This window comes from Homo sapiens, chromosome 3, assembly GCF_000001405.40.
Source record: "Homo sapiens chromosome 3, GRCh38.p14 Primary Assembly".
Classification (NCBI taxonomy): Eukaryota; Metazoa; Chordata; class Mammalia; order Primates; family Hominidae; genus Homo; species Homo sapiens.
This window is the reverse complement of record NC_000003.12, coordinates 150282931-150310928: the sequence shown is the minus strand read 5'-3', so window position 1 is coordinate 150310928 and position 27998 is coordinate 150282931. Positions and strand designations below refer to the sequence as shown.

General features: G+C 37.8%; 2 long non-coding RNA genes across 4 annotated transcripts in view, besides 1 other annotated feature; one reads left to right on the top strand and one right to left on the bottom strand.

The window, feature by feature from the left end:
- LOC107986141 (uncharacterized) overlaps window positions 1–4510 on the bottom strand; it is a 46871-nt gene extending 42361 nt beyond the window's left edge. For both annotated transcript variants that reach the window (XR_001740958.1, XR_007096127.1), the window contains exon 1: window positions 2530–4510. This is a non-coding gene — a long non-coding RNA (uncharacterized LOC107986141). The remainder of the gene's footprint in view (window positions 1–2529) is intronic.
- The window catches only part of LINC01214 (long intergenic non-protein coding RNA 1214), a 58341-nt gene that overhangs the window by 12819 nt on the left and 17524 nt on the right, over window positions 1–27998 (top strand). Inside the window, exon 2 of one of the 2 annotated variants that reach the window (NR_110186.1) lies at window positions 14325–14461. This is a non-coding gene — a long non-coding RNA (long intergenic non-protein coding RNA 1214). Of the gene's footprint in view, window positions 1–2355; window positions 2690–14324; window positions 14462–27998 lie in introns of those variants that run through there. The other variant, NR_110187.1, reaches the window with a different exon arrangement.
- Window positions 1959–3158: an enhancer, noted in NCBI's record as "MED14-independent group 3 enhancer chr3:150025558-150026757 (GRCh37/hg19 assembly coordinates)". NCBI's record gives its function as "activates an origin of replication core promoter dependent on BRD2, BRD4, P300/CBP and CDK7 cofactors, and independent of MED14, by STARR-seq in HCT116 cells {active_cell/tissue: HCT116}" and the evidence as "EXISTENCE:reporter gene assay evidence [ECO:0000049][PMID:35650434]".

Genomic DNA, 27998 nt, shown 5'->3' with positions numbered 1-27998 from the left:
GAGCTAATGAAAGTAACTTTGGTTCCATGGAAATAATTGTGAGGACTATGAAATCCAGGGATGTGAGCTGGGAGTACAGGACGTCCAACCAGGATTGTTCTAAAGTGCTCAGAATGTAGTAATGAAAGTGAAATGCCATGGCTAATAAATATTTGTTGATTGATTAAAGAACGTCAAATGCTGGATATACCTCTGATAAAAATATCTTGTAGCTCTAAGTTTATACACCAAGGACCAAACGTAAATGGGCATGGTGGTTTCAATTAACAAGTAACCATCAAAAAGTTTGAAAAAATGTTTTAACTCAAAATGGGTCACAGATCAAAATGTAGAAAGTAAAACTATACAACTTTTAGAAGAAAACATAGGAGAAAATATTCATGAACTTGGGCTAGGCAAAGAGTTCGTAGATAAAACACCAAAAGCATGATCCACAAAAGAAAAAATGGATATACTGGTCTTCATGAAAATTAAAAACTTTGCTCTGTAAAAGACACTCTAAAGAGAATGAAAAGACAAGCTACAGACTAAGACAACATTTTCAGAAATCATATATTCATAAAGAGCTTGTATCCAGGATATATAGAGAATTCTTAAAATTCAACAACAACAACAACAACAAAAAATGGCCAAGTACGGTGGCTCATGCCTGTAATCCCGGCACTTTGTGGGGCTGAGACAGGCGAATCACTTGAGGCCAGGAGCTCGAGATGAGCCTGGACAACATGGTGAAACCCTGTCTCTACTAAAAATACAAAAATTAGCTGGGCACTGTGGCCTGTAATCCCAGCTACTCGGGAGGCTGAAGCATGAGAATGAACCTGGGAGGCAGAGGTTGCAGTGAGCTGAGATCACACCGCTGCACTCCAACCTAGGTGACAAGACCCTGTCCCAAAAAAAAAAAAAAAAAAAAAAAAGGAAACAAACAACCCAATACAACTGAGCAAAATATTTAAACATATGCTTCACAAAAAAATGATATACGGACAGCAAATTAGTACATGAAACAGTACTGGAGTATATTAGTCACTAGGGAAATGTAAGTTAAAACCACAATGAGATACTACTACACGCTTATTAAAATGGCTAAAAATAAAAACAAAATTGACATTTTCAAGTGCTGACAAGGATATGGAGCAACTGGGTTTTCATACATTGGGAATGTATGGAATGCTGGTAGGAATGCAAAATGGTACAGGCACTCTGAAAAACAGTTTGGCAATTTCCTACGAAATTAAACATACACAAATCAGATGACTCAGCAGTTATACTCCTAGGTGCTTACCCTAGAGAAATGAGAATTCAAGTTCACACAAACATCTGTATCCAAATGTTTATAGCAACATTATTCATAATTGCCAACAACTGAAAACTATTAAGATGGCCTTCAATGGGTGGATGGATAAGCAAACCATGATCCATTCATACAATGGAATACTATTCAATAAGGAAGGACTCAACAGTATGTACAACAATATTGATTATTTTCAGATGTATTATGCTAAGTGAAAGAAGCCAGATTCAAAAGGTTACATAATATAAAATTAAATTTATATGACATTCTGGAGGAGATAAAACTATAGGATGGAGTTGCCAGGGGTTGGGGGTGGGTGAAGAATTTGACTCCAAAGGGGAAGCATCAGGGACATGGGGTGAGAGAATTGTTCTGTGTCTTAATTGTGGTGATGGTTACATGACTATGCATTTAAGACGTTCACAATTGTACACCCCCCCCCAAAAGTTAATTTAATATATGTAAACAAACAAAAAACTTCTCTAAATAATGGAAGGGAAAAAAATTTAGTCATCAGAGATCTACCATAGGTTAGTCATGAGGCTTTAATTTTTACTCAGAATAATCCTGTTTCTGATGCTTAACTGACTGTACAATGGGTACAAATGAACATTTTCCCGGTCCTATATTTCAATAGCAGTTAGAATGACCCTTAAAGACATTCCCAAACACAGGGCAGCTGCATCCCCTAGCTTTCCTAACCAAGCTATCTGACACTCAAGCTCCTGTAATGTCGGAAGAATTATGACTGCCCAGCCAAACAAAGCGTAGATAACACCACACCCTGCACTTTTCACCTGAGCAAATGTCACCAAGATCTCATGCACGTCATCTGCCTTGGTGAGTATGCCGGCCTGAATGCAATCCACGGGAGGCTTCCACGTCCTCCTCACCAAATCCTTGCTGACCTTGCCCCACTGATTAGATCCTACTTTGATGACAGCTGAGATGCAACCTGGGTGCTGCCCCTGGGTGGGACTCAGCTTTGACAAGCCTGATTTAGCGCTCCATTTCTTTCCCTTATAAATCCTATCTTTAACCTCAGACCATTCATTGTTTAGGAATTCAAGGTCTCCTTGGGAGTCTCATGTCCTTGCCAAGCCTTCGCCAGGCTCTCGCCACTGCCGTTCCTCTACCAGCCCAAGTCTACATTCTGAGGCTCTAGGAACACGAGAGAGAACTCCAGTGCTCACATCCCATATTGACCCTCTTTATGTTCTTCAATTACCACCTACCTGAAAAAGCCTCAAAGTCTCAGGGGAACATTCTGGAGTCCCTGCTGCTGAAGAGGGTTTTTTGAGTTTTGGTCGTCTTCCAAAGTTTACTGTATGAAGTCTTAGTGCTTCACTGGAGTTTGTCATATGTCTGGATAATAAATAAGTTTCAAAAATGTAACTAACATAAGTTCCAGTTGAATTTCCAAGGCTAGCAGAATTGTGTTCTTCTTCCTCTCCCTTTCCCTCCTCCCTGCCTCCACCAACTGCCACAGCGTATATTAAAAGCTGACGTGCCAAACTTTGCCTTCCGGCAGAAATTACCTCGGAAATAAAGCTAAGATTCCAGGGGTCCTGGCCTTGAAGAGAATCTAATCCAAGAAGACAAGCGGAACTGAGAGGCCTAGGAAGACTTAAAGTTGGAAGGAAAGAATTCACAGCTAATTTGGAGGATAAACAGAAAAGTAGTTCAGCATAATGTGAACATTTTTCCATGTGCTACAGCAAAGGAAGAGGATTTGGGATATTTAAGGAGGAGAGTTGCCCTTTCCACCTTAGCCTGCTTTTCTCAGAGTTGGCATTCAACCACCAAAACAGCCAGAAACCAGAGGGCTGTTCCCACACCCACAATTTATATAGCTTTACTCCATTCATAGCAGGTAGATATCTAACGACACTTAAGGCTTCCTACCAAATTTTTACAATTTCATTTTATTGCTCATGATTCTCTTTTGCTACTTTCATCAGCTTTGTGTCCTGGAATTTCACTTAGCCTGGCAGGCCTTCCCTCTGCCACAGCTAAAAGAGAACTCAAATAGACTTTGTCTCGGGAGTGGGACATGACCCAGTCATATGGGGTAGCATATATCCCTTCCCGCACTAATTGTTCTGCTTTTTTAAATCCTTGCTTTCAAAAGAAATGTAATCCTTATGTTTCTACCTCATTTACACTTAATTTAGGAAAGCCCTCTTTCATAAGAGCTGTGTGATGTCCAAACAGCCTTCTTGACACACACGCCCCTCTTCAAGAGCCTCTAGAAGTCTTCCAAAGTCAGAACCAATGCCTTCTGACTCTAAATTGAAAATCCAATTAAACACGCAATTTAGGTGAATACCAGAAAGTTTACCCTTGAATTTTCAGCTAGCGCCTACTCTCACAAAAGTATTTGAGAGCATCGAAATTCTAGAATCTAGAAAAAGAATCTGTAGTGTGTGCTAACAATTTACTTCTCTAGCATCAATAATTTCTGACCCTGCAGCAAGTCCCAGCACCAGGAAGTGACGCATTTGAATTCCATAGGTCACCTTAGCATCTAGTAGCAATGCCCAAGACATGGGCTCCAGAGCATACTTCCTGCATTTGAATCCTACCTTTACATCATAAGTTATTTGTAAATATCAAATGAGTCAAAGCAGGCAAAGCACTTATTGTAGTGCTGGACGTAGTCACTACTCGGTCCCATTACCTGTGATCACTAGGCTTTTGCACACTGCTCTTGGTGCTTATTGGGAACAATATAAGAATTTACTGTATCTACAGGAAGATATTTCTGCAATTTTTGTAAAACTACTTTTAAAGATACTGCTCATTTTTCCTTTTAATGTCCCGTCTAGTAAATAAGCCTTTGTTAAAGTAATGTTAGATTACTCAAGCTAGAAAAACAGAAATGTGCCCTCCTGATTAACTAACAGGCTTCCTTTAACTTTAATATCATAAACACAGATGAGTGACTAGTTTTTCATTCTTATTTTATTCTTTGCTTTGGCTGTCAAAAAGTCAGGGTTTATGTTTGGCTATAGTAGCAATCCTGAGTTTAGCAATAATAATAGCTCTCAGTTATTTACGAAAAAAGTGCTAATGTTTAAGAGCATTTTGTAATGTTATTGTCTGATTTTTGCACTCCAAAAATAAAAATTAAAAGAGGGCAATTCCTGCAAATAAATATACCTGAAATTAATACACAAGAACTTTTTGAGCCACTTGCTTTATTCCTGTCCTGCCTCTGACCTATGTTATATTCTGATATAAACGGGAGAAAAATGTACATAGTCTAATGTTACAGATTTCAACAGCTGCTAAAATCACACAGTAATTGTTCCTTCACACTGTGTAGAGTTACACCATGGTGAATTTGCTGCTCATACACAAGGAAGGAAATCAGAATCTAGGCATTGATGAGTACTCATTAAATCAGACACACACAAAATGCTTTGATGCACTCTTCTTTCTTTTGTCTTTTACTCTAGTGCCATGTAAAATATACAGCCAAGACTTTCTGGAAGTTTCTGATTCTCCATTGCTCCACGGAACTGCACATGAATATAAAGCATACGAATGACCAGATCTGTGGCTACACCCATCAACTGCTTACTATCTCAGACACCCCAGTCCAGAGGACCATGAAAGGGAGCACAAATTCAAATTACAGTTCTTAGAGGTTCCAGATGGACTTTTCATTTATGATCTAAACTGAGATCATAAATGAAAAATTGAGAGAAAAAGAAGGCACAATGAATAATTTTGCCAGGACTATAGGTGTAAATACATACTAGACAAATTAGAATGCATAATCACCATACCTAACGGGCTCAGATTATTTCAAATCTACCATTGCAATTGCTGGTAGACTGGAAAGGATGTTGAGCCAAAATATTTCTGCACCTCCCTTTCCTTACTGATGTCTTAAATTTCACCATTACAGATTCATTCCTTTGGATTAGAAATTGTCAACCAGGGATAATTTTGCCACCAGGGGATATTTGCCTAATAATATTTTTCATTGTCACAACTGGGAGGGGGGCTGTCCCTGGCATCTAATGGATAGAGAACAGGGATGCTGCTAAACATGCTACGATGCCCAGAACAGTCCCCCACAACAAAGAAATTATCGAGCCCAAAGTGCCCATAGTGCAGACTGAGGTTTAGAAACCCTGCTTTGGATTAAGCAGTCTCTTCTGTTGCTCCCATTTGAAGATACATGAAGATCAAGAGGATGATAAGACAAGACACAGTCTGGGAGAAAATATTTGCAAAAGACATATCTGAGAAAAATCTATAACAGTTATCCAAAATATACAAAGAACTCTTAAAACTCAACAATAAGAAAACAATATGAATAAAAAAATGGGTAAAAGACATGGACAGACACCTCACCGAGGAAGAGGTACAGATGGAAAATAAGCATATGAGAAAATGCTCAACATCATATGTCACTAGGGAATTGCAAATAAAAACAACAACACTATTACACACCTATCACAACAGCCAAAATCCAGAACACTGACAACACCAAATGCTGGAAAGGATGTGGAACAACAGGAACTCTCATGCATTGCTGCTGGGAATGCAAAATGATACAGCTGCTTTGGACAGTCTGGCAGTTTCTTACAGAACCAAACATTTTTACCATAGATCTAGGAATTGCACCCCTTGGTATTTACCCAAAGAAGTTAAAATTTATACAGGTTTTATTTATAATTGCCCAAACTTGGAAGCCACCAAGATGTCCTTCAGTAGGCAAACAGAAAATTTAACTGTGGTACATCCAGGCAATGAAATAGTATTCAGTACTAAAAGGAAATGAGCTATCAAGCCATGAAAAGACATGGAGGAACATTAGTGCATATTATTAAGTGAAGGAAGCCAATCTGAAAAGTCTACATATTGTACGATTCCATCTATGTCACTTGTTTGAAAAGGCAAAATGATGGAGACGGTAAAATGATCAGTGGTTGCCAGGGGTTAGGAGGAGGAAGTGATGAATAGGCAGAGCACAGAGGGTTTTTAAGGCAGTGAGATTATTCTGTATGATGCTATAGCAGTGTATACATACCATTATACACTTGTTAAAACCCATAGACTGTACAGTACCAAGAGTGAACCCTAGTGTAAATGGTAGACTTTGGGTAGTAATGATGTGCCAATGGAGGTTCATTGATTATAACAAATGTGCCACCGTGGTGCAGGATTTTGATAGTCGGGGAGGCTGTTCATGTGTGGGGGGCATATGAGAACGCTCTGTATCTTTTGCTGAATATTCCTATGAACTTAAAACTGCTTTAAAAAAAGATACATGAAGGACACACATAAGTCCCTCATACTTCATATAGAATGATTTTATCAAATGGTAAGAGAAAGTGATAAATGCAGGAGTAGCAAGTAAAAATATTACTGTCTTTAGATTATTGCATGTGCTGACTCTACTGTAGTGGACTGGGGGTGGTCAGGAGATGAGGGAGCTGACTGCAATTAGCTGATGCTTCGGGAGAAGATATAAAAATCATATATTCATTTATTAATTTCACTAGCCAAATTTTATTAAGCCCTGCTGTTGGCCAGAGCCTTAGGGATTTCCCATAAGCCTCCCATTTCCATAGTGGAAAACAACCTAAAGCTTGAACTAGTGAAGCCTAACATCCTGGCCATTCTGCTGCCCCCAGAGGCCACCATTTACCATGCAGTCACAAGACCTATGCTGGCATCATCAAAACTTTGAGTATGAACCTTAAACTGAGGCTACAGCGTCCCCAAATGTGGCATGATTGGTTTTACTCAATGATTATGCATTCCAGTTATTCATCTTGTGGGTAGATTTGAACTGCAGCAGTACCCTGCGTTTTAGTGTGTAGAATGGGTGAAGTTGAAATGAGTGGGAGAGAAGGAAGACATTTATCTAAAGAAGCATTTCCCTTAGTGTCCCATGCATGCCAATGATTGCCTTCCGTACTCTTCTGATGTCCTAACCTAAACTATAGAGTTTGTCCTGTCCCACTAGCTTCAGACCTTACAGACATACAGGGCGTATCCAGACAACAACTGGTAATACCAACCCTAGTTACACTGATGACACCAAGACCCTATGCAGATGCCTCAGAGTGAATGTTGCTACAGAAAGACAGACTAACTAAATTGATGGTGGGATTAGCATGTGCTGAACCCTAGTAAAAGCAATTTATTTTTTTGTCTCATTCCAGGCAGCCGTGGTGAGATTTTTCCCCACCCCACCCCCCAAAATAGAGAATCCTTGGTTTTCCCAAAAGTAGCATAATTTTCCTGATGTAAACGGTAGATACTGCCATAATCTCTTGTCAAAGATTTCTTCAGGAGGAATAATTTTTCTGTGAAACTTCAATTAAGGAAAGAAGTAGCTCAGTGAGTATGCAAACATATAACAGGTGTAACTCTGAAACTTCCACTGCAAGTATTATTCTATGCAAAATATTATTTTTTCTTTTTATATATGATGGGGAGGTGAGATTAAGAATTATTTTAGACCCCATTGAACCACTCCCCGTCTTTACATTTCTTCCAGTTATCCTTTCATCTTCTAAGTGCCTATATTTTGAAGTTTTCAATTCCCTTTTGTTTCTGACTTCTGTTTCTAGTTTTTTATAATCCTCCTTTCACTGCCTTTCTTTTGGTTCAATCTGATGCCTTTCTTATTTCATTCTCTTTACTACAACATTTTCTATGTGTACTTTTGCACTTATTTCCACTGCCTTTTTGCTCCCAGTTTTAGTGTCTAATCTCCTTTATCTGTTGTGTGTGTATGTTTTGCTTTTTGCCACTAATGATAATTATTTTTACTTCTGAGGATTGTTTCTTTCTTTCAAAAAAAGATTTAGAATGTGAACATTTTATCTGTTCTCATTTGTGGTATCTTTGTTTATTTCTTGAGTCTTCCAGTTTGGAACTCTCTCTCTCTGCCACAAATTCTGCCCTTCAGAAACTCTTTTACAACATGCCATAGTGTGTGGCTCCATCTAATTAAGAGAACAGGAAAAAAAAAAAAACCCAGATGATGAAAAAATTGGGCTGAGATTATCAGCCACCAATATTTTGGTTTGTTAGAGGACTTTCTCCTTTTGTTTGAGGGGGTGGAGGGGCTGTCCACTGCAAATATACCTCTCTATGCCTTGATGACATGTGCATTGGAGGAGTTTCTGGCACAGACATTTAATAGCCTTCAATGGTCTCTGAAGGAAATTAGTCAGTGTTGCCAAAAATATCAGAGAACTAAGCAGAAGAGTAGAAATATCATGGAGAGTAGGCTAAGGGATTAAGAAGCTAAGAAAGAACTGGAATGTTCAATTGGTTAAGGAAAATCTGAGTATGGATAAAAAACACAAAGCCTATGTCTGTGAATGTCCTAGAAGCTGTGTTATATCATTTCACCTGTTACTTTGATGAATTACTATTTACTGTAGTGAAGCCATGTTACACCATCCATGTGGGTCAAGCTTCCTTTTTAAAAATCTGACCTCAGGTTCCCAACACCTAGTCTCCTAAGGAAGAATAGCAGGAACTTTAACTCGTAATTAGGAATTAACAATTCGAATGTTTCTGTATGTGACTCTGCAGATACATCTTTTAAAAAACACACAGAAATTAGGCAGCTTCTAATATTTTTTAAATAGGTAGGCCACTGGCTTGGGGTGGAATTGTTCCTATGTGTATTATTTATTTGGAAGAGAATTTGCCTGAGCTAACTAGATTGCAAATCGGCATGTAATGTAAATTTATTGAGGGTTAGAGGTATGTCTTTTACAACCGTATATCCCTGGAGAACCTACTGCATAGCTCTGTACATTGTTAGCACTTAACAACTATTTGTTGAAACAATGCACAAAGGAATAAACAGCAAATTTTGGTAAAGTTGGAAGGGACCCCAAGTGATCAGCATGTGCTTCTCCATCCGGAATGAGGTAAATGGACAAGTGCACACGAAGGCTTCCTTCTTTCCTGGATTCGCTTTTAATATAGGAACAACAGGGTCAGTTCCTTGTTCTTGAGGATTCATGGGGATTGGAACTTACAAGCCAAGTTCCCAATTTACAGAGTATGTGGAAACAGTTTGACGGACAAACTCCATAAGGACAAAAGTGTATCACTTATCAATCACCTTCAGCAACCAAACTGGGCGTTCAGAACAGCCCTTGTTAAGTAACCATATAGGTGAGGCAGCACAGGAGATTCAAACAAAATCAAATACGAAGAGACTGAAATAATGCTTTCTGAGAACTGATATTCCCAAGTTGGCATACAGATCTAGTTAGACACAAAGCCATTCTCTTTCCCATAAATTCAGGGAATACTAGGCTAAACCAAAAGCCTGTCTTATTTTAGTTGATTGGACTAAAATAAAAAGGGGGCTCTCTAAAAGTAAAAGGAGACAAAACGAAAAGACTTCACAAGTGTAGTTAGAGAATTTACAGCAGGAAGCAGCAGTTTGTTTTTCCTTCCGACTTTACAGCCTGTGACTGATGACTAGTTAGTGAGTAAGCAAGTATAGAGTAAGTGTAAGGAAATGATAATCATTTCTTATCATACTGATAATCGTATCAGTTTAATAGTAAGCGAGTGTGCTTTGTGTTGGCAAGACTCTAATTCAAAGTAGTATTTCTCCAATATGGACCTTGGGATTACTTTTAGCACATTCACCACCTTGTAAGCAAGACTTTGGCCTTCTTCATGGCACAGATATTTACTGGGCAATACCTTGCAGCACACACTAGGCACTGGAGATAAAGAAATCAAGGAGGTAGCGACTGCCTTGTGGAAGGGCGGTTTCGTCATGCCAACACAACCTAAGGGAAGCTCAGAAATTCCATCCTCAATGGCTTTTTCCCCCGAAAAGCATAATACATACAGTAGTTCCCCCTTATTTGTGGTTTGTTACCTGTCGTCAATTGAGGACAAAAAAAAATCAAATGGAGAATTCCAGAAATAAACAATTTATAAATTTTAAATTGCCCATTGTTTTGTGGTGATGAAATCTCTCACCGTTCCACTCAGCCCTGCATGGGACATGAATCATCCCTTTGTCTAGGGCATCCATATCCACACTGGATATGCTACCTGCCTGTGGGTCACTTAGTAGCCATGTTGGTGATCAGATGGACTGTTATGGTATTGCAGTGCTTGTGTTCAAGTAACTCTTATGCTTCTTAATAATGACCTCAAAGTGCAAGAGTAGAGATGCTGGCATATTGTTATAATTGTTCTACATTATTATTCATTACTGTTGATTTCTTACTGTGGCTAATTTATCAATTAAACTTCATAATAGGTATTAATGTATATGAAAAACATGGTACATATAGAATTTATATCTGCAGTTTCCGGTATCCACTGAGGGTCTTGGAACATATTCCCCACAGATAACAGGAGATTACTGTATATTGGTTGATTTGAATGGATTTCCTTCCCCCACCTTGCCACCTGATTCCACCACAACCTCTTCGAATAGACCCCATAATTCAGACATGATAATGTCATGGTCTCTAACATGACAGTATTTCTTTTAAAGACTTTTAAATGAGTCTATATGTTGGCAACAGCAATTTCATGTGCATTTTTCTTGATAAATTTTGATTAGCTAATGAAGTATAGCAATACCTAATATTTATAATACCTCCTAATTCAGCCTCACATAAAAATTTAAATTAAATATTTAACATAGCATGTTGTGGTTACTTTGAAATGTTATGTGCTGAGGTAGGGCACTGATTTGTTTACTAAGCACTGACAAATATATTATGTTTTATTTACTCTCAGTATCACTTTATTGTTGCCTTCCTTCTACTTCAGTTATGTCTTAAAATAACTGTTACGTACTTTAGCAATAACACATATAGCAGAAAATTTGGAAAACAAATAAAAACTCAAAAGAAACAGGAAAATAAGTTACCCCAAATCCTGTCGCACGTGGGTGGCTTCCATTATGTTTGGCAAAGCCTTATAATGTTTTTTTCATGTATCTTATGTTGCTTGACAAAAATTGTATCACATTATATTTACAGCTTTGAGCCTGTTTTTCTCTTAACAACATATTGGGGGCTGTTTTCCCATGTCAGCAAAGATTCTGTTAAATGGCTGAATAGCATCAAAGTGTGTTATTCTTAAGCTGCTGCATGCTGCCTTGCCATGGGCCAGCGGAAATACAGCCCCAGAAGCAGTGGTTTTATCCAGACCAAGAAGCCATTCTTTGCATTCTCGGTGGAGGGTCCTCCCCTTAGGAATGTGGAGCTGATGATGCCAAGTGTGTCCTTGACCTTCTGGGCAGGATGGAGAGCTCCTCTATTTTCTCAGGCTTCTGCCTGATAAGGGTGATCAAACAGCAAGATTCAAGATTTATTACTCAGGAATCTAATTTATTTGCAGTTGTTTAGAGCTTTCACTGGTGTCCTGATCCTTTTATCCATTTGCTGCCTTGTTTTAGAAACTCATCTGTTGAAACCAGTATCAATCAACAAAACCCCAGTTTGCACCCTATTTACAATTCTGAATCAGTTTCTTTTCTGTTTTAGTGTTTCTCTTCTTATGTGATTGCTCCTATAGTGGTCAATATAATTATATCATATTTGGCTAGTTGTTTAAAAATGTAACTCCAATGGAAAATTTACCTCAAAATTTGACTTCGATGTGTACATGAATGGATGTATTTACCTATATCTATTATATTGTTATATATGTAATTTTTAATAATGCAAGCTCCAATTTTTAAAAACATTTTTCTCTTGAATGTATCAGTTATAAAATTTCTGAAGTTATTAAATCCTGTGACGTGGCATCTTGATGCTTTTTTTTTTTTTGAGATGGAGTCTTGCTCTATCACCCAGGCTAGAGTGCAGCAGTGGCATGATCTTGGGCTCACTGCAACCTCTGCCTCCTGGGTTCAAATAATTCTCCTGCCTCAGCCTCCCAAGTAGCTGGGATTACAGGTGCCCACTACCACCCCTGGCTAATTTTTGTATTTTTAGTAGAGATGGGGTTTCACCATGTTGGCCAGGCTGGTGTCGAACTCCTGACCTCAGGTGATCCACCCACCTCGGCCTCCCAAAGTGCTGGGATTACAGTCATGAGCCACCATGCCCAGCCAATGCATTTTAGATTCTAGGTTTTGGAAGTCCTAGAAAAGCTTATGATAATCAAAAACAATACATTATTTCTAAACCATGACATAAAATAGTAATAATGAACAGTTCTGACGCTCATGCCAAGTGTGCTCTAGTTGAGCACTTTTCATATTTTATTTCAATAAACTTCTTAAAACAACTCAAAAACAGTTACTATTATGGGCCCCATTACTGCAGACGAGGGAAACACAAGTGAGAATTTCTTAAAAGCCTAATTTTTCACTACCTTTTTCCTCTAAGAAGGTCAATATGAATCTCAGTGCCAATTGCTCCCCACTTAAAGTTAATAATGGCACTATTAATAGCAATATGAGTCATCATTCATTGGGTGCATATCATGAGAAGCAGGTACTTTATAAATATTATTCCTAATCCTCATGTGGTAGGTTGCATTTGTAGCTACAATAATCTCTCCTTTCCACATGCTCCTTTGCAATGTGACCTAGCCAACGTCCCATCAAGAAGAGATTTTCTCCAACCCGTCCAATCTCCACTCCCTCAATTTCTCCACCCCATCCAATAAGGGTGGGCCCTATGACTGCTTTGATCAAGGGAATACAGCAGAAGTGACATTATGCCAGTTTCAAGACTCAGGCCTTATGATTTTACCTGCTTCCACTTCCTGCCTCACAGAATATTTGATATGGGGACCTAGCTACTGTGTAAGAAATGTGAGTACTCTGGGACCACCATGTCATGAGAAACCCAAGCTATATGGAAAGGCCCAAGAATAAGGGTCAGTAAACTATAGCCCATGGGCCAAATCTGGCTCATCACATTCTTTCTAGCTAAGAATGGCAGGGAGGGGCAGCCAAAAGAATAACAACAGTCTGCGATATGTAAAAAGTATATGAAACTTAAATAAAATTTTATTGCAACTGTCACACTCATTTGCTTACTTATTGTCTGTGGCTGCTTTCATGCTACAATGGCAGAGTTGAATAGCTGTGACAGACATCATAAGACCCTTGAAGCCTAAAATATTCACTATCTGGACCTTTACAGGAAAAGTCTGCAACCCCCACCCTTAGAGGATAAGAGGGAGAGGCCAGGAAGCATCAAGGAGCTAATACATATAAGTATATAAATATGCCATACATCTCAAACCTTCCACCTCCAGCCAACTCAACTGATGCCACGTGGAACAGAGACAAATTACCCAGCTGAGTCCTTCCCAAATTCCTGATCAACAATTTAGCAAAAGCAAAATAAATGGCTGTTTTAAGGCATTAAGTTTTGAGTAGTTTGTTACATAGCAAGAAATAACTGAAACACCTTACAACCACCCTACAAAGGAAGATGTTGTTATGCAAATATTTGGGTGAGGAAATGGAAGCTCAGAAAGATTAAATAACTTACTCAAGTTCACACAGCTGGCAAATAAGGAGCTCGGATTTCAACCCAGGTCCTTTCAATTCCTTAGCTTTATTCGTGATACAGTAGCCCCATAATATTCAGCCTTTACTCTATTGCAATACATTTTATGCCCATGTCAGTCTTCATTAACTCAATAAATGTGTACTGATAATTGTCACCACAGGTAAGCACTGCACTAAGCTTTGTGGGGAAACAAGAGATGTAATTTAGATGGAATCTGAAAATTTTACTTAACTTTTTACTTAGCTAAGAAGACCAAGGGTTATTATAATGTGATGATGGATGAAATATTATAAATTCAAATTTGACACATTTACTCTGAAGGTGGTGGCCTACAGAATCCCATTCTAGGTAATAAAACTTTCAGAAAAGCTATTTGTTTGATCTTTATGTCACAGTTCTAGGACTTTTCTTTAAGGAGCAAGTTGTCAGCAGTCACTGAAGAGATGGCTTGGAAGCTCATCCTGCCTACCCGCAAAGTCAGTTACACGTTAGTGTTTTACTTTGTTTTTTAATTTCAGATTAACTGACCTCTTCCATGTTCAAACCATATGTAATTGTAATTGAATGGAAGTTAAACATCTGGAAACCGTTAGGATTGAATAGCAATGAAAGGCAGGAAGCACAAGACTATGGAAAGTGATTTTGAACAACCAGGGTAAGGAATGTAAAGAAAACTATTTAAGCATATTCCAAGTTGTCTGCCATTATGATACACTCTAAAGGTCATTACTGGAGATAGTCACTCTGAAGTGAAGGCTGTCAACTAGGAACACAGCTAGATGAAATACAGTATGGTGAAAATGGAGGTAACTATGGGTTTAAAGGTCATTTCCTTGTTTATCAAGGGCCCTAGTTAGGTGTAGGCTGCTTGAGAGCCAAAATATGTAACCTTTATAATATTTGATAGTCAGTGGTTTGTTGGGACCGGTACATACCAGCTTACAATAACTGATTACATTTTTAGGAATTTTTGTGGGCCGATTGTTGAAATTTGCCATGGTAGGAGCACTTATACCATGGAATCTGGCAAATACAGTAAGTCAGAGCTCTTTTTTAAGAGAGCCAGTTCAGCAGCACACCATTAAGACAGAGTCAATTAAAAATGATTAGCCAGTAGTCCAAAATTCTTTAGAGTGTATGATAAACTATAAGGCATTGATTACATTTATGCTCTTCAATAATTTTTAGTGACATGAGAAACAAATCTGGTAGCAAAACTATAGCTCCAGTACAGTCCCCAAAATGCTAAAACATATAGCTCTATATAGAAAATTATAAGAAAGAAAATACATCAGTGTCTTCACAGTGGTTATCTTTGGGTTGTAGATTTACAGGTAACTGTTGTTTCATGCATTATATCTTTCAAGTATTCTATAAGCATTGCTTTCTTAATTAAACAACCCACTAAAAATAACATACCTAAGTATTAACCTTTTTAAATTTTGTGTACAGGAATGACAGAGGAAGGGTTTACAGGAAGAAAGTTTGGAAGAGGAGGACTTTCTCTTCTTAACTCATGCAGTCCTGTGAGAAAAGGGTTGAGGAGAAACCATTATGATTAAATTGGAGCTAGGAGTTCAGCTAGGGTCACAGAGGGAATGAGTAGAGAAGCAAAAGACAAATGAATAGAGAGAGGCAGGAAAAGGGAATACTAAAATAGGGATCAGAAATTGTATCCCTAGCAGCTATATTAAGAAGCCATGTCATAGTCATTTCACTTTTTGAGCATCAATTTTTTCATCTCCAGGGTGTGCAGGCCACACTAGAAAACAATGCACAAATTTCATTTTAATCAAGATGTTCTAAGTGAACTTCCTCTTAAGGGCAGCCAGCTCTCAGGGTGGGTGTGCAGCAGCATAAGACTCACCTGGCAAAGGAAAATAGAGGAATGTTTGCTGGAGAGGAAGGAAGGGAATTGTGCAAGATGAGAGTAGAGGGGTGTCGTTTAGTGAGGGTGCTGGAAGAAAACTGTCCTAATTGTGAAACCTCAATGGTAGTATCAAAGGGATGTTTGGGGACAAAAATATGGTTCCACTTTTGTTTTATTTTATATGTAGATAAAGAATCCTTGCTCTCACAGGCACATTTCTAACTTCTACCAAGGAATTTCTGAATGTAGTCTGTATGATGAGATCCCTGATTGTGTGTTATAATAACAGAATCAGGAGTCTTCATTAGAAGATTACTCTGAAACTAAATAAATTTTGTTTAGTAATGTTTTAAACACATCTTTTAAGGTCCAGATTATTTTCTAGGATCACATTATAAAAAAGATCTTAAAAATATAATAGAATTTTTTTTTTTTGAGACGGGGTCTCATTTTGTCACCCAGGCTGGAGTGCAGTGGGTGATCCCTGCTCACTGTAGCTTCAACCTCTTCAACCTCAAGCGATCCTCTTGCTTCAACACTCCAAGTAGCTGGGATTACAGGCACCCACCACCAAGTCCAGCTAATTTTTGTATTTTTCACAGAGACGTGGTCTTACCATTTTACTCAGGCTGGTCTCGAACTCCTGAGCTCAAGTTGTCCACCCGCCTTGGTTTCCCAGAGTGCTAGGATTACAGGTGTGAGCCACAGCACCCAGCCTAGTAGAATTTTTATTAGTTGTTAACTCTGACACTAATGTAGTTAGAAAGAGGTAGAAACCAATGGCTCAGTATATTACTTTATCTGTGGGTTCCAATTATCTATACAAAGTTGTTGCTTATTTCTACAATAGTTTCACGACTATTATAGTTATTCTCACTCATCTTGAAGAAAAAAAAATCCCCTGATGTGATAAAGTACAATGGTTCCAACTCACATATTTAAAACGTAATAAAAGCTTAAACTTTAATTGTTTTACAAAACTTGATTTAACGCATGCCATGTGTGCCTTTTTTTCAAGGAGATCTGTATTTTTCAAACGACTTTGTAAGTCAGTGTCATGTACACATATGATGTGGGAGCTAAATGGTTATCTCCATTTTAATTGTATTTTTGAGACATTATAAGAAAAACATCAATGTTGCATTCCACTGGGTCCCTCTTCCCAAACAGACCTGGATGAGTCTAGCTTTGCCCAGGACCGTGCACTTCCGTGTTATGTGGGGCTGGGTGTTGAGGACATCGACACATCTGTAACCAAACCAGTGAACCTCAGTGGGAGCTGAGAGCCATGTCTCTGGAATGAGGGCCTCTCATTCCTTTGTTCTCGATATTTCCTGGCAACGTGTACACAAGCACATGCTATTAACAGATGGTAGAAGGCATAATTGGGATTTTTATCATAACATATCCCTCATGCTTCCACCATGCGCCAAAGAAGAAGAGATGCATGGACTAACTAGCTTCGTCACAGCAGGACTAAAACCCCCTACTGTACTTCAAACCTCCCAAGACCCGAGTCCCTCCATGACAGATTCAACCACTCAGTTAGATGTGGTTTTCAGTCAGAAGTACAGAGCCAACTTTGGCAGACACGTTCATTCAGATTCCTTTTAAGATCAGTTGTTAATATGAGAGAGACTGGAGCCTAGTTTATCTGGTAAGTTGAGGCATACATCTGTGCTGCAGAGCTGAGGCCTATGGAATTGGCAGAGAGCCCTAAACTTTGTACAGACAACTGCGCCTCATAACCCACACAGATGAAAAGGTCTCCTTTGCTTAACCCCATAGCTATGTGCTGAGCAAGACAGAAAGAAAGCAGGAACAAGTATGGCAAAGAACTTAGCCAAAGAAGCTTAAGAGGATTATTTTTGATTTTTTGCTGTTGATGTTCAAATCTAGTGTGTGCCTTCTCAGTTCAAAATTGATTACCCAGGTCTGCTTTATAAAACCATACATACATAGTGCATATTTTTAAGAGAAAATTAATTCTTCGTAATTTATAAGTCTCTAAAGAAGTACTGTTCATAATGTTCGTATAACTCTTGTGCATTTATGCAGCTTGCATCATCCAAAGAATTTGAGGGGTTTTGTTAAAAGTATCTGCTGGCTGGGAATATTTTACATTACACCCAGGATGATTAAAATCGCAGGGCTATCCTTTGGGCACATGCCTGAGCATTGTAGTCAGTGAGGTTTATATTTAGTGGTCAGTAGCATAGCTAAAGAAGTACCTCAGAGAGCTTGAAATCTAACATGGTGGTGGTTATAGCTGGTGGTTAGGAGCTGGGAATCAGATGGTTGGGTTCAAATCTGACCCTTTCTCCTACCAGCTAAGTGACTTCGATCAACACACTCAACTTCTCTAAACCTTGATTTCCTTATTTGTAAATAGGCATGAAAATATTATCATGGGGTTAATTATATCATTATAAAATATTTTAAAATATGTAAAAGAGATCATTATAAAATATATAAAATATCAGGGTTGTGAATTTTAAATGAAGTAACATGTGAAAGTACTTACCATAATACCTGTTGCATAATATGTGCTAAATAAACATTAGCTATTATTTATACAAAGTGATAAACAGGGCTACATAATTTTCTGGCCCCACAGCAAAATGAAAATGTGGGACCCTTTGTTCAGAAAGCAATGCAAAAAAAAAAAAGTGCTGTTAAAGGTACTTAAAAAAAGCTTTTTATTCTCTTTCGTGCTCTCTCTCGGCTTGTGATGGTGGTGTTGTATTTAATTACTAGACTTTAGTTTTTAGAGCAATTTCAGATTTACAAAAAAAAAAAAGAAAAGAAAAAATAAGAAAGTGGAAAGTGGAGTTCTCATATTACTCCCTCCAGGTTTCCACTATTGTTAACATCTTGCATTTAGTGTGGTACATTTGTTATACCTGACAAACCAATATAGACACATAGTTACTAACTAAAATCCATAGTTTATATTAGAGTTCACTCTTAATGTGTTTAGTTCTACATGTTTTGAAAAATGCATAATGTCATATATCTACCATTACAGTATCATACAGAATATTTTCTCTGATCAAAAATATCCTTTGATAACTGGCTAATCATATGCAGAAAAATGAAACTGGATCCCTATCTTTCACCATATACAAAAATTAACTCAAGATGAATTAAAGACTTAATTGTAAGACCTTAAACTATAAAAATCTTAGAAGAAAACTTTGGAAACACCATTCTGGACATAGCTTTGGGAAAGAATTGATGACTACATCCTCAAAAGCAATTGCAAGAAAAACAAAAATTGACAAGTGGGACCTGGTTAAACTAAAGGGCTTCTGTACAGCAAAAGAAACTATCAACAGAGTAAACAGGCAACCTGCAGAATGAGAGAAAATATTCACACACTATGCATTCAACAAAGATCTAGTACCTGGAGTCTTTAAGGAACTTAAAGAGTTGAACAAACAAAAAACAACTCCATTAAAAAATGGGCAAAAGACATGAACAAACACTTGTCAAAAGATGACATACAAGTCACTAACAAACATGAAAAAATGCTTATCATCACTAATCATCAGAGAAATGCAGATCAAAACCACAATGAGATACCATCCCATACCAGTGGGAATAACTATTATTAAAATGTCAAAAAACAACAGATGTTGGTGAGATTGTAGAGAAAGGGAAAGCTTATAAACTGTTGGTGGGAATGTAAATTAGTTCAGACACTATGGAAAGCAGTTTGGAGATTTCTCAAAGAACTTAAAACAGAACTACCATTTGATCTAGTAATCCCATTACTGGGTATATATCCAAAAGAACACAAATCATTCTACCAAAGGGACACTTAATACTTGCATGTTCACTGCAGCACTATTCACAATAGCAAAGACATAGAACCAACCTACATGCACATCAATGAAGGGTTGGATAAAGGAAATGTGGTACATATACACCATGGAATACTACACACTCATGAAATAGAACAAAATTGCCTGGCCAACGTGGTGAAACCCCATCTCAACTAAAAATACAAAAAAAAAAAAAAATTAGCTGGGCATGGTGGCAGGTGCCTGTAATCCCAGCGATTCAGGAGGCTGAGGCAGGAAAATCACTTGAACCTGGGAGGCAGAGGTTTCAGTGAGCGGAGATCGTGCCATTGCACTCCAGCCTGGGTGACAAGAGTGAGACTCTGTCTCCAAAGAAAAAAAAAAAAAAGAAAAAGAAAGAAAGGAACAAAACTGTGGTCTTTGCAGCAACATGGATGGAGCTGGAGGCCATCATCCTAAGCAAATTAATGCAGGAACAGAAAACCGAATACCACATGTTCTCACTTATAAGTGAGAGCAAAACATCGAGAACTCATGGACATAAAGGTGGCAACAATAGACACTGGGGACTATTAGAGAGTTGAGGAGGGGTTGAAAAACTAACAGTTGGGTACTATTCTGTATCTGGGTGACAGGATCATTTGTACACCCAACTTCAGCATCATGCAATATAACCAGGTAACAAACTTGCACATGTACCTCCTGAGTCTAAAATAAAAGTTGGAGCTGGGCGTGTTGGCTCACGCTTGTAATCCTGCCACTTTGGGAGGCTGAGAGGGTGGATTACTTGAGTCCAGGAATTTGAGACTAGCCTGGGTAACACTGGCAAAACCTCGTCTCAACAAAAAAGTACAAAAACCTTAGCTGGGCATGGTGGGCACACCTGTAGTCCCAGCTACCACTGAGGCTGAGTTGGGAGGATCACTTGAGCCCAGGAGGTGGAGGTTGCAGTAAGTCAAGATTGCACCACTGCACTGCAGCCTGGGTGACAGAGGGAGACCCTGACTCAAAAAAAAAAAAAAAAGTTGAAAAAAAAAGAAGATTCCTTGTGCTTTGCTTTTGCATCCTTTCCCCACTATTTCCCCCAATCCCTGGAAACCACTGATCTTTTAATTGTCTCTATAGTTTTGCCTTTTCAGGTGTCATATAGTTGGAATTACATAATATGTAGCTTTTTCAGACTAGCTTCTTTTACTTAGCAATATGAATTTAAGCTTTCTCTTCCATGATTTTTTATGGCTTGATAGCTTATTTTTATTGCCAAATTTCATTGTATGGATATGCCACAGTTTATTCATTCATCTACCAAAAGACATCTTGGTTACTTCCAATTTTTGACAACTGTGAATAAATTTGCTGTAAACATTCATGTGCAGTTCTTTTGTGTGTGGGCATAAGTTTTTAACTCATTTTGATTTTAGCCATTCTAATAGGTATGTGGTGGTATCTCATTTTTGTTTTAATCTGCAAATTTGTAACAGCATATGATGTGGAACATTTTTTCATATGCTTACTTGCCAGCTGTATATCGTCTTTGCAGAGGTGTCTGTTCAGATCTTTTGCTCTCTTTCTAATTAGATTGTTTGTTTTTTGTTGTTGAGTTTTAAGAGTTCTTTGTATATCCTGGGTAACAGTCCTTCCTCAGATATGTCCTTTGCAAATATTTTTTCTCAGTCTGTGCCTTATCTTTTCATCATCTTAATGAAATTTTTCACAGAGCAGACATGTTTTATTGTAATGAAATCCAACATCAATGTTGTCTTCTAGAAGTTTTATAGTTTTACATTTAGGTTTGTCATCCATTCTAAGTTAATTTTTGTGTAGTATAAGGTTAGATTCTATATTCATTTTTTGCATGTGGATGATTAATTGTTCCAGTATCATTTATTGAAAATATTATCCTTTCCCCAGTGAATTAACTTAGCTTTGTCAAAGATCAGTTGACAATACTGTGTAGGTCTTTTTCCAGATTCTCTATTCTGTTCCTGTGCTCTATTTGTCTATTCCTTCACCAATACCACATTGTCTTGCTTACTGCAGTTTGTAGTAACTCTTGAAGAAGTATAGTGTCAATCCTCTGACTTTATTCTTCTTCAATATTTTGTTGGTTATTCTGGGTCTTTTGCCTCCCTATGTAAACTTCAGAATCAGTTTGTTGGTCACCACAAAGTAACTTTCTGGACTACTTTATTGAAATTGCATTGAATCTGTAGATCAACTTGGGAAGAACTGATATTTTAACAACACTGAGTCTTCTTATCCATGAACATGGAATATCTCTTCATTTATTAGTGATCTACTTTGATTTCTTTCATTAGAGTTTTGTAGTTTTCTTCTTGTACCCATGAGATCTTATAGATATTTTGTTAAATTCATACATAAATATTTTATGTCTTTTATTTGCTATTTAATGTTGTTCTGAGCTTAAAAATTAAAATGTAAATTTTACCATTCATCTCATATCATGCAATTCCAGTTTTAAGTGCAAACATAAAACATTTAATTCATATGTAGAATCACCAGAATTACACAGTGGAAAATCTGTACCGAATGTATGTCCGTGAAAACAGCCCAGCTGGTAAATGAGAAGTGGTGGAGATGCAGGTAGTACAGCTGATCACAGAAGGATGTTAACTAACTAGAGAACAAAGAATACTTCAGCTGGAAAGGAAATAATGTTGATCTCTAGTTCAAGAAACAAGGTCCCAAATGAAAAGTGGCCAGGGTCACACAGGTAAAGAGTGATGAGAACCTCTCTTACCATCCAAGCAGCATTGTTGAAATTCACTATGTGATATTAGTTCAGGTTTCTTATATACTGGATTTCAGTTCTGCTGACATTCAAAATTTTATTGAGCTTGACTAGATACTTCTGGGAATATTCAGATATACACACTGTGAGTCCAAGTAGAATCCCAAAGCAGTTACAACTGTCACAGATGTAGCAATACCTTTGTCCCCAAAACTTGTTGAAGGAGAGACTGAATTAGAACTAGTCACACTGACATGTTTTTAATATTAGGCATTGATTTCTGCTGGGAAATATAAGAGGCATCTTCCTTCATGGGGGAGAAAAGTGACGGGTGTGTATGTGTTCTTGGCAGGAGTTTTTGCCATCTGAGCCAGGCTCAGATGGGGAGAACATCAGATTCAGAAGAGACCTCAGAGATAAACTCATTCAGTGGCTTTTAAACTGTGTTCTAGGGATCCACACGCATTTCATTACATTTATTTTATTATTTGAAAAACTAAGTTAAAAAAGGCTTACTACTCAAATGTGTTACAGATCAAGGCTTGATGTGGTAGAAATCACAGATCATGATAATCTTCAAATGTCTCATGAGGAAATGCCATACACAGTAACTTATGAAAGAGGTATACTACTTTTATCTGTGCTATGCATTGGGGAGCCATACAAGACTTCATTTTACGAAAGGATTCCCTTGCATAAAGTTAAGTTTGAAAACCACTGATCTATTCATCCCCCTCCAAATAAGCCTCTAAGAACTGTTGATAGATTCATAATACATGTTTAACAAATTTCAGCCATCATTATTTCCTACAGATAGAGAAATTGAGGCCTAGGTTGACTAAATGACTTGCCCAACACATCCAGATATTTAGCAGCAAAGCCAGAATTTTACCTGTGTCTTAACTCCTAGATCATTTTTCCTTTCACTCTATTGCAACCTCCAGATTCCATCCCCAACAAAACAGCTATGATATTAAGTCTTCCAGGCATAGGCTGTATTTACTGTCCCTTTGATCTATCCTTTTCTTAGTCCTGGGAGCCAAGAGGGGAAAAGAGAAAGAGAGAGAGAGAGAGAAAGAGAGAGAGAGAGAGAGAGAGAGAGATCTCACCAGAGGACTCACCAAGATGTTCTTATTTTGACATCTTTAACGTTGAAAAGGGACAAAAAAGTGACAATCCTGCTTTTAAATGTTTATCCCATTTTCCTTATAAAAACACTTATATGTGGCAGACCATGTATCCTAAATTTTGATCAGAAATGTGATCTTTCTTTCAGTGGTCCCAAAGATAACCAATTGTTTAGAGCCTAGAGGAAAGGGAAGAACCCACATCTACCATGAATGAATAAATGGTGAGTTCTGACCATCATCCTCCAACTCTTTTTTTTTTTTCCCAACTCTACAAACTGTGGCACTACACACAAATTTAAGGTATCCACAAACCCCACTTTTGAAAACTTTTGTCACTTATGCAGCCTGTTCTGAAGATACTTTCAAACCATTCCTTCTCCCTCCTTCTCCCATTCTCTATACATCGACATACCCTTGTCTATGCCTGTCTTTCTAGTCTTTGAACACCTCCAAATTCAGGCTTAGAGCAACAAATGAGTAAATGAGGAAAAAATTAAAGCCGTAAACCTCTTTACAAAGGCTTATATATATGATTAGAATATTATTGTAATATCTACATGGCAAATAATAGGAACTCAATAAATACTTGAATTAATAAATTTGTTTTACATATTTTTACTGAATATTTCTTATTTTCTGCCTACATGTTAAAGTGATTGTTGAAAAGTACACAGATTGATAAAATGAATAACTCAGTAAGCAAAGCTGCCTTTATAGGGAGGTTCGGCCCATGCCCCGCAACACTAGGCTACTTACTGGTGGATTTTAGTGATGGTGATGAGTGAGTTACCTGAATTCAGCCATCTTTAACCTACTCCCCCTTGTGGTTAGTGTGAGACATTTTAAGGTGTCTGGTGTGGCTTTCACTCCTTTAACACTATGTTCTGACCTAGAGATAAAATAATTCACGGACAAAACCAAACTCAAAACCAAAACATTTTAAGAGCGGACTAGTCTAATGTGAATGCGGAAAGACCTAGAGAGCCAGGCCCTTTTCTCTTGATCTCTTTCTTTCCTAAGCAGCTCCTTCACCTTCATCAAGACTCAGCTCAGGACAAACCCCTTCCAGAAAGTTTGTTCTGGTTTCTTGCTCTGTGAGTTTGGGGCCTCACCTTGTGACTGCCTTTATCAAAGAGCCTATCACTCTGTGTCTCTGCTCACTAGGTAGGTATCCCCAGTGGACTGTAAACAACCGGAGGTGGGGGCAGGAACTGTGTCTTGCATTTCTTTATTCCAAAATGTCTTCTTTTGCCAGCTATAGAGTAGATGTTCAGTAAATGTTTGTTGAAATAAATAAGTGGTTCTTGCCACTAAAAACTTTAGACAATTGGCATAATATCTCAGGTTGCAGTTTTCTCATTTATAATCTTAGAGATTTAGGACTTTAAGTCCCTAAAGAGTCTGTGTGTCTGGAATTACATTTATTATCAAAATATTCTGTAAGAATTGGTCCCCTTTTGACTTTCAAGTTCTTTTATTTGGGGTCTTTTGAATATCTTTTTGGCTCTATAGAATTGTATGTCATGGTATGTTAATATTGGAGGTGGGAATGGAAAATAGCCCAGCAGTTACTAGCAAAGATGGCATTGAAGAGATTTCTTCATAAGTAATTGTCTGAATGATTATTTTCCAAAGAAAATCATACATTCCATATAGACCTCAAATAAGTTTTTACTTACATTTTTTATTCCATTTGAAGACATACCAGCTTGTGGAGAGGTCTAGAAGTATTTCTCCTCTTGGCTTGGAATTCCCAACATATCAAGTTTTAATAATATTTGACTCAGGACCACAAAGCATTATTTAGCAAATATACAGTTTGTGTTGAAGACATTTGAGGAAACCAGACCACAGGAAGAAAAATACTGCATGATCTCACTTATATACGAAATCTTTTCAAACACTGAATAAATAGAAATGGAGAGTATAATGGCGATTGGGGTGGGAGGATGGGGGAAATGGGCAGATGTAGGTTAAAGGGGACAAAGTTGCAGTTATATAGGATGAATTGGTGTAGAGATCTAATGAATAACGTGAGGAAGACAGCTAAAAATATTACAAACTGGAAATTTGCTAAGAGAGATTTTTAGGTGCTTTTACCACACACACAAAAGTAAGTATGTGAGAGGATAGATATGTTAGTTTACTTGACTATAGTAATCACTTTATTGTATGTGTGTATATCAAAACATTGTGCTGTACATCTTAAATATATACAATAAAGAAAGTGTTCAAGCTGCCCAAGATCTAGAAGACATCAGAGAGGATTGTATACAAGTCTGGCAGTGAGGCCAAGTGAGAATTCGTTGTCTCATCCCATGTCTCTCTTTTGTTTTTGTGAGAATTTGGGTCCATCTGAGGCAGAGAGTGGTGTGCTCTAAGGATACTGAAAGCTGGAACTTTTGTTCTCCTAAAATAGGAAGCACTCAGAAGTGGGAATGTTTTCAGGAGACAGTCCTTTCAGAAATGAGGTAAAAATTTTTCAAATTAAAAAAAAATTTTGGAGGCCATGGAAAGAAACTGATATTTTTAATGAACCAAGTTAGGACAGGAGGACTCTTCAACTGGTCAGAAAATAGAATTTTAAGTAAAGGGAAGAAAAATAACTGTAGATATCAGGATGTTTGTTGTTAAGCAATAATTTTGGGGTGTGTATGTGTGTGGTATTGTTGTTGTTGTTGTTGTTTTTTGAGCCTTACTGCTAGTTTGTAAAGATGGACTTTTCGATTATAAAGAAAACTGCAGGCCAGGCATGGTGGCTCATGCCTGTAATCCCAGTGCTTTGGGAGGCAGAGGCGGGCGAATCACCTGAGGTCAAGAGTTCGAGACAAGCCTGACCAACATGGAGAAATCCCATCTCTACTAAAAAATACAATATTAGCCAGGCGTGGTGGCACGTGCTGTAATCCCAGCTACTTGGGAGGTTGAGGCAGGAGAATTGCTTGAACCCGGGAGGCAGAGGTTGAGGTGAGCCGAGATCGCACCATTGCACTCCAGTCTGGGCAACAAGAGCAAAACTCCATCTCAAAAAAAAAAAAAAGAAAAAGAAAACTGCAGTTTGAAATGTAAAATGACCCTATAATGAGGCCTGAATTTGCCTTTACTGCAGTCTTTTCAGGAATATAGGCACAGGTTAATCTGTGTGTACAGGATTATGTTAGCCTCTGAGAGACTCTGGGAAAGGGTTGTTCTATTAAAGTCATAAAGGCTCTTGTTTTCCTTCAAAGCGTATTTTTTTCTATGTAGAAAATCTACCAGAAAACCTTACCAAATTCCTCAGGATGGCAAAAAGAGTTATCTTAGATCTTCTATTCATGTTTGGGAATTCTAATAAACTGAATTCATGTTTATTTGTTTGTTTTGTTTTAAATTTTTGTGAGTACATCGTACATCTATATAGTTATAGTGTACATGAAATATTTTGATATAGACATACAATGCATAATAATCACATCCGGGTAAATAGGATATCCATCATCTCAAGCATTTATTCTTCTTTGTGTTTCAAACAGTCCAATTATAGTCTTTTAGTTATTTTTAAATGTACAATAAATTATTGTTGATAGTAGTCACTCTGTCATGCTATCAAATACTAAATTTTATTCCTTCTATCTAATTATATTTTTGTACCCATTAACCATCCCCACTTACCCCTCACCCCCACTGCCAAACTATCCTTTTCAGTCTCTGGTAACCATCATTCTACTATCTCCATGAGTTCAATTGTTTTTATTTTTAAATCCCACAGATAAGTGAGAACAGGCAAAAGTTTGTCTTTCTGTGCCTGGCTTATTTCACTTAACATAATGACCTCCAGTTCCATCCGTGTTGTTGCAAATGACAGGATATTATTCTTTTTTACGGCTGAATAGTACTCCATTGTGTATATGTACATTTTCTTTATCCATTCATTTGTTGATGGATGCTTAGGTTGCTTTCAAATTTTAGGTATTGTAAACAGTGCTGCAACAAACGTAGAAATGCAGACATCTTTTCAATATACTGATCTCCTTTCTTTTGGGTATATACCTAGCAGTGGGATTGCTGGATCATATCGTAGCTCTATTTTTAGTTTTTTGAGGAAACTCCAAACTGTTCTCCACGGTGATTGTACTAATTTACATTCCTACCAACAGTGTACAAGGGTTGCCTTTTCTCCACGTCCTTGCCAGCATTTGTTATTGCCTATCTTTGGATATAAGCCATTTTAACTTAGGTGAGATGATATCTCATTGTAGTTTTGATTTGCATTTCTCTGTTGATCAATGATGTTGAGCACCAATTCATATATCTGTTTGTCATTTGTATGTCTTCTTTTGAGAAATGTCTATTCAGATCTTTTGCCCATTTTAGAATAGGATTATTGGATTTTTTTCCCTATAGAGTTGTTTGAGCTCCCTATATATTCTGGGTGTTAATCCTTTGTCAGATGGGTAGCTTGCAAATATTTTCTCCCATGCTATGGGTTGTCTGTTCACTTTGTTGATTGTTTCCTTTGCTGTGCAGAAGCTTTTTAGCTTGATGCGATTCCATTTGCCCATTTTTGCTTTGGTTGCCTGTGCTCATGGGGCATTACTCAAGAAATCTTTGTCCAGTCCAATGTCCAGGAGAGTTTCTCCAATGTTCTTTTTTTT